At 34.5% G+C, this 2,579-nt stretch overlaps 1 annotated feature.

The window, feature by feature from the left end:
- Nucleotides 1,681–2,354: an enhancer, noted in NCBI's record as "OCT4-NANOG hESC enhancer chr12:83591168-83591841 (GRCh37/hg19 assembly coordinates)". NCBI's record gives its function as "activates a minimal SCP1, AML or CMV promoter by ChIP-STARR-seq in naive and primed H9 embryonic stem cells {active_cell/tissue: H9 hESC(naive and primed)}" and the evidence as "EXISTENCE:reporter gene assay evidence [ECO:0000049][PMID:30033119]".

Genomic DNA, 2,579 nt, shown 5'->3' with positions numbered 1-2,579 from the left:
TTTAGAGAAATAGATTCTTGCCATCAACACAATTCCTTAAAAATACTATGAAAATTATCAGGATAAAATCTGATCTATACTGAGTAAATATTTCATAATATTTCTGTTTAACTGAAAAGGAAACAAAAATTCTGAAAACAAACCAAACAACAGAAAACATAAAATTGGTTATTTTGGTCATTGAAATTCAAAGAATTTACAGTTTCTATAAAACTGGCTAATTGAGTCAATTTTTTTGGTAAAGCTTATCTTTCCAGTCACTGTGACCAAAATATCTTTAGCAATTTAAACCTGTGTTTATGCTGAAATTGTCTATACAATAATAGTGATTGACATTACAACTACTCCAAAAGGAAATTTCCAGATATTTAATCTTTCTTATGAGATGGATGAGGTAAAAGGAAGGGAGGGAGGAGAGGGGAGAAAAAGAGAGAGCAATTGAGATTGGGACTGACTAACAGTTGCTTGCCCTGCAGCATACTTCAGGTAAATAGCTTAAAAGTAGCTTAGTGTAACAAGGGGTCATTTCTTTTTTCTTTCTCTTTCATCCATTCAGCTTTCTTTCTTTCAGTAAAAACCTCAAGATGACACTTCTTTCAAAAACATCTAAATAATATATGAACCCTTCAAGACTCATCATGCAGGCTACATAGGCTTTTGGGTCTTAAAGGAAATTTTACATATTAAAAGAACTCACTGATAATTAAATCAACATTTATGCTGTACTCAAGAAGAAAGACAGTAAAATGGAAGAAATTTCCGGAGATCACTCCCTCCTCACAGAACAGTTTCCACCAGTCCTTTAGCAAATATATCACTCTTTTGTTAGCTACAGATAAATTCTTGGTCTTCTTTGCTTGTGTTTTCACCCTTTTATTCTGTCTGGAGGGCTTAGTTTGTTTTTCATGACAGCATTTGAGATTTCTAAGCTGCGGCAGTAGTGCCAGCCCATACCGTGCACAGTAAGTGAAGAAGAAACAATCTGGCTGTTGTTTTTAACACTTTCCAAACAGTAACTTGTTTCTCCTGCTTGATTTTTGTCCCTGGACATCCAGCAGTGCAATAATCAATTCACCAAATATAAGACAGACTTTCTCTTCATCTTTCACTCCTGCAAATTTGGCAAATTGAGATGAATATTTACAATTCAAAGGAAAGTTTTGTTTTTTAATGATGCATTGGGATTCTTTTACACAATGAGAAATCCATTACCTTCCTCAAAATTTGGCACTAATTTCCAATAAATCACTCCTTGGAGTTTCTGCCAACCATTATAGCAAAGAACAAGGCATTTTTCTTTTTGCTTTTCTTAAAATGGACCTAAATGACAAGACTCTCAATAAAACTAATCCACATTGTAAATTTTCAGAGGGCAAGAATACCTTCTTTTATTGTTTGGATGCAATAAAGCATTTATTAGAGTATTTTTTAAGCATGAATTTACACACTATATGAGTTTAATATATGCACAATAAAATAGCCTCTCTGATAGAAACTACTGGTTTTCTTGAGCAGCAACTGGTTCCTTTTTAAATAATTTAGGTTAGTGATTCTCAATATTTGGTATGAAAATTAATCACCCGGTGGTCTTATTTAAAGTTGAGATTCTTGTCTAAATCCTAGAGATTTTCCTTCTGTAATTATGCAAATGGAACCCCTCATAAACCAAAAATAAAACATTAGAATAGAGATAGAAAGAGTGACAGAACAGATACTTTGTAGCAGTAAGATAACAACTCCAACCTGACTCTCATATAACATCACATAATAGGTAACAGGTAAAGGAAATCAAAGTATTTTATTCCAACATATATTTCTTTCACATATTTTGAAATGGCCTTGTAAAGGCATCTCTTCTCGGGAAGATTTACATTCTGCAGAGATTCCCTTTCCCTTTCCAAGTATTTTCCTAATCCAGGAGAGATTTAAGTAAGAGTGTTTAATACCTTTTATGATCTGATAAGAAACATTTGTCGTCTATTCTCTCTGAAGCCTGCCACCTGGAGGCTTCATCTACATAACAAGAACCTTGGCTTCCACAACCCCCCTTATCTTAACCCCAAGAATTTCTTTCTGCTGACTTCAACTCTTTAGGCAAAGCTTAAATCTTTAACCAATTGCCCATCAGGAAATCTTTGAATGAAATCTACGACTTGCAAACCCCTGCTCTAACAAGTCCTGTCTTTTTGGGCTAAACCAACGTATAGCCTACATGTATTGATTTATATCTCTGCCTGTAACTTCTGTCAACCTAAAATGTATAAAATCAAGCTGCAAACCAACCACCTTGGACACACATTCTCAGGACTTCCTGAGGCTGTGTTATGGGTCATGGTCCTCACATTGGGCTCAGAATAAATCTCTGTAAATATTTTACAGAGTTTGGCTTTTTTCATCAACACTCTTAATTTGTATTTGGCCAGATGAGTTCTATAGAAACTGGATTTGAGAAATGGCTTATAAATGTAATCTGAGATACACAGTTGTGTATAAGAAGTCAGTTATTCTGGATCTCTGGATACTATCTCCAGCTCTGGGATCCTCTCCCTTTGAGGACTCGTCTTCATAATCAAATCTTA

Source organism: Homo sapiens, chromosome 12 (genome assembly GCF_000001405.40).
Source record: "Homo sapiens chromosome 12, GRCh38.p14 Primary Assembly".
Lineage (NCBI taxonomy): Eukaryota > Metazoa > Chordata > Mammalia > Primates > Hominidae > Homo > Homo sapiens.
This window is presented reverse-complemented; position numbering and strand designations above follow the sequence as displayed.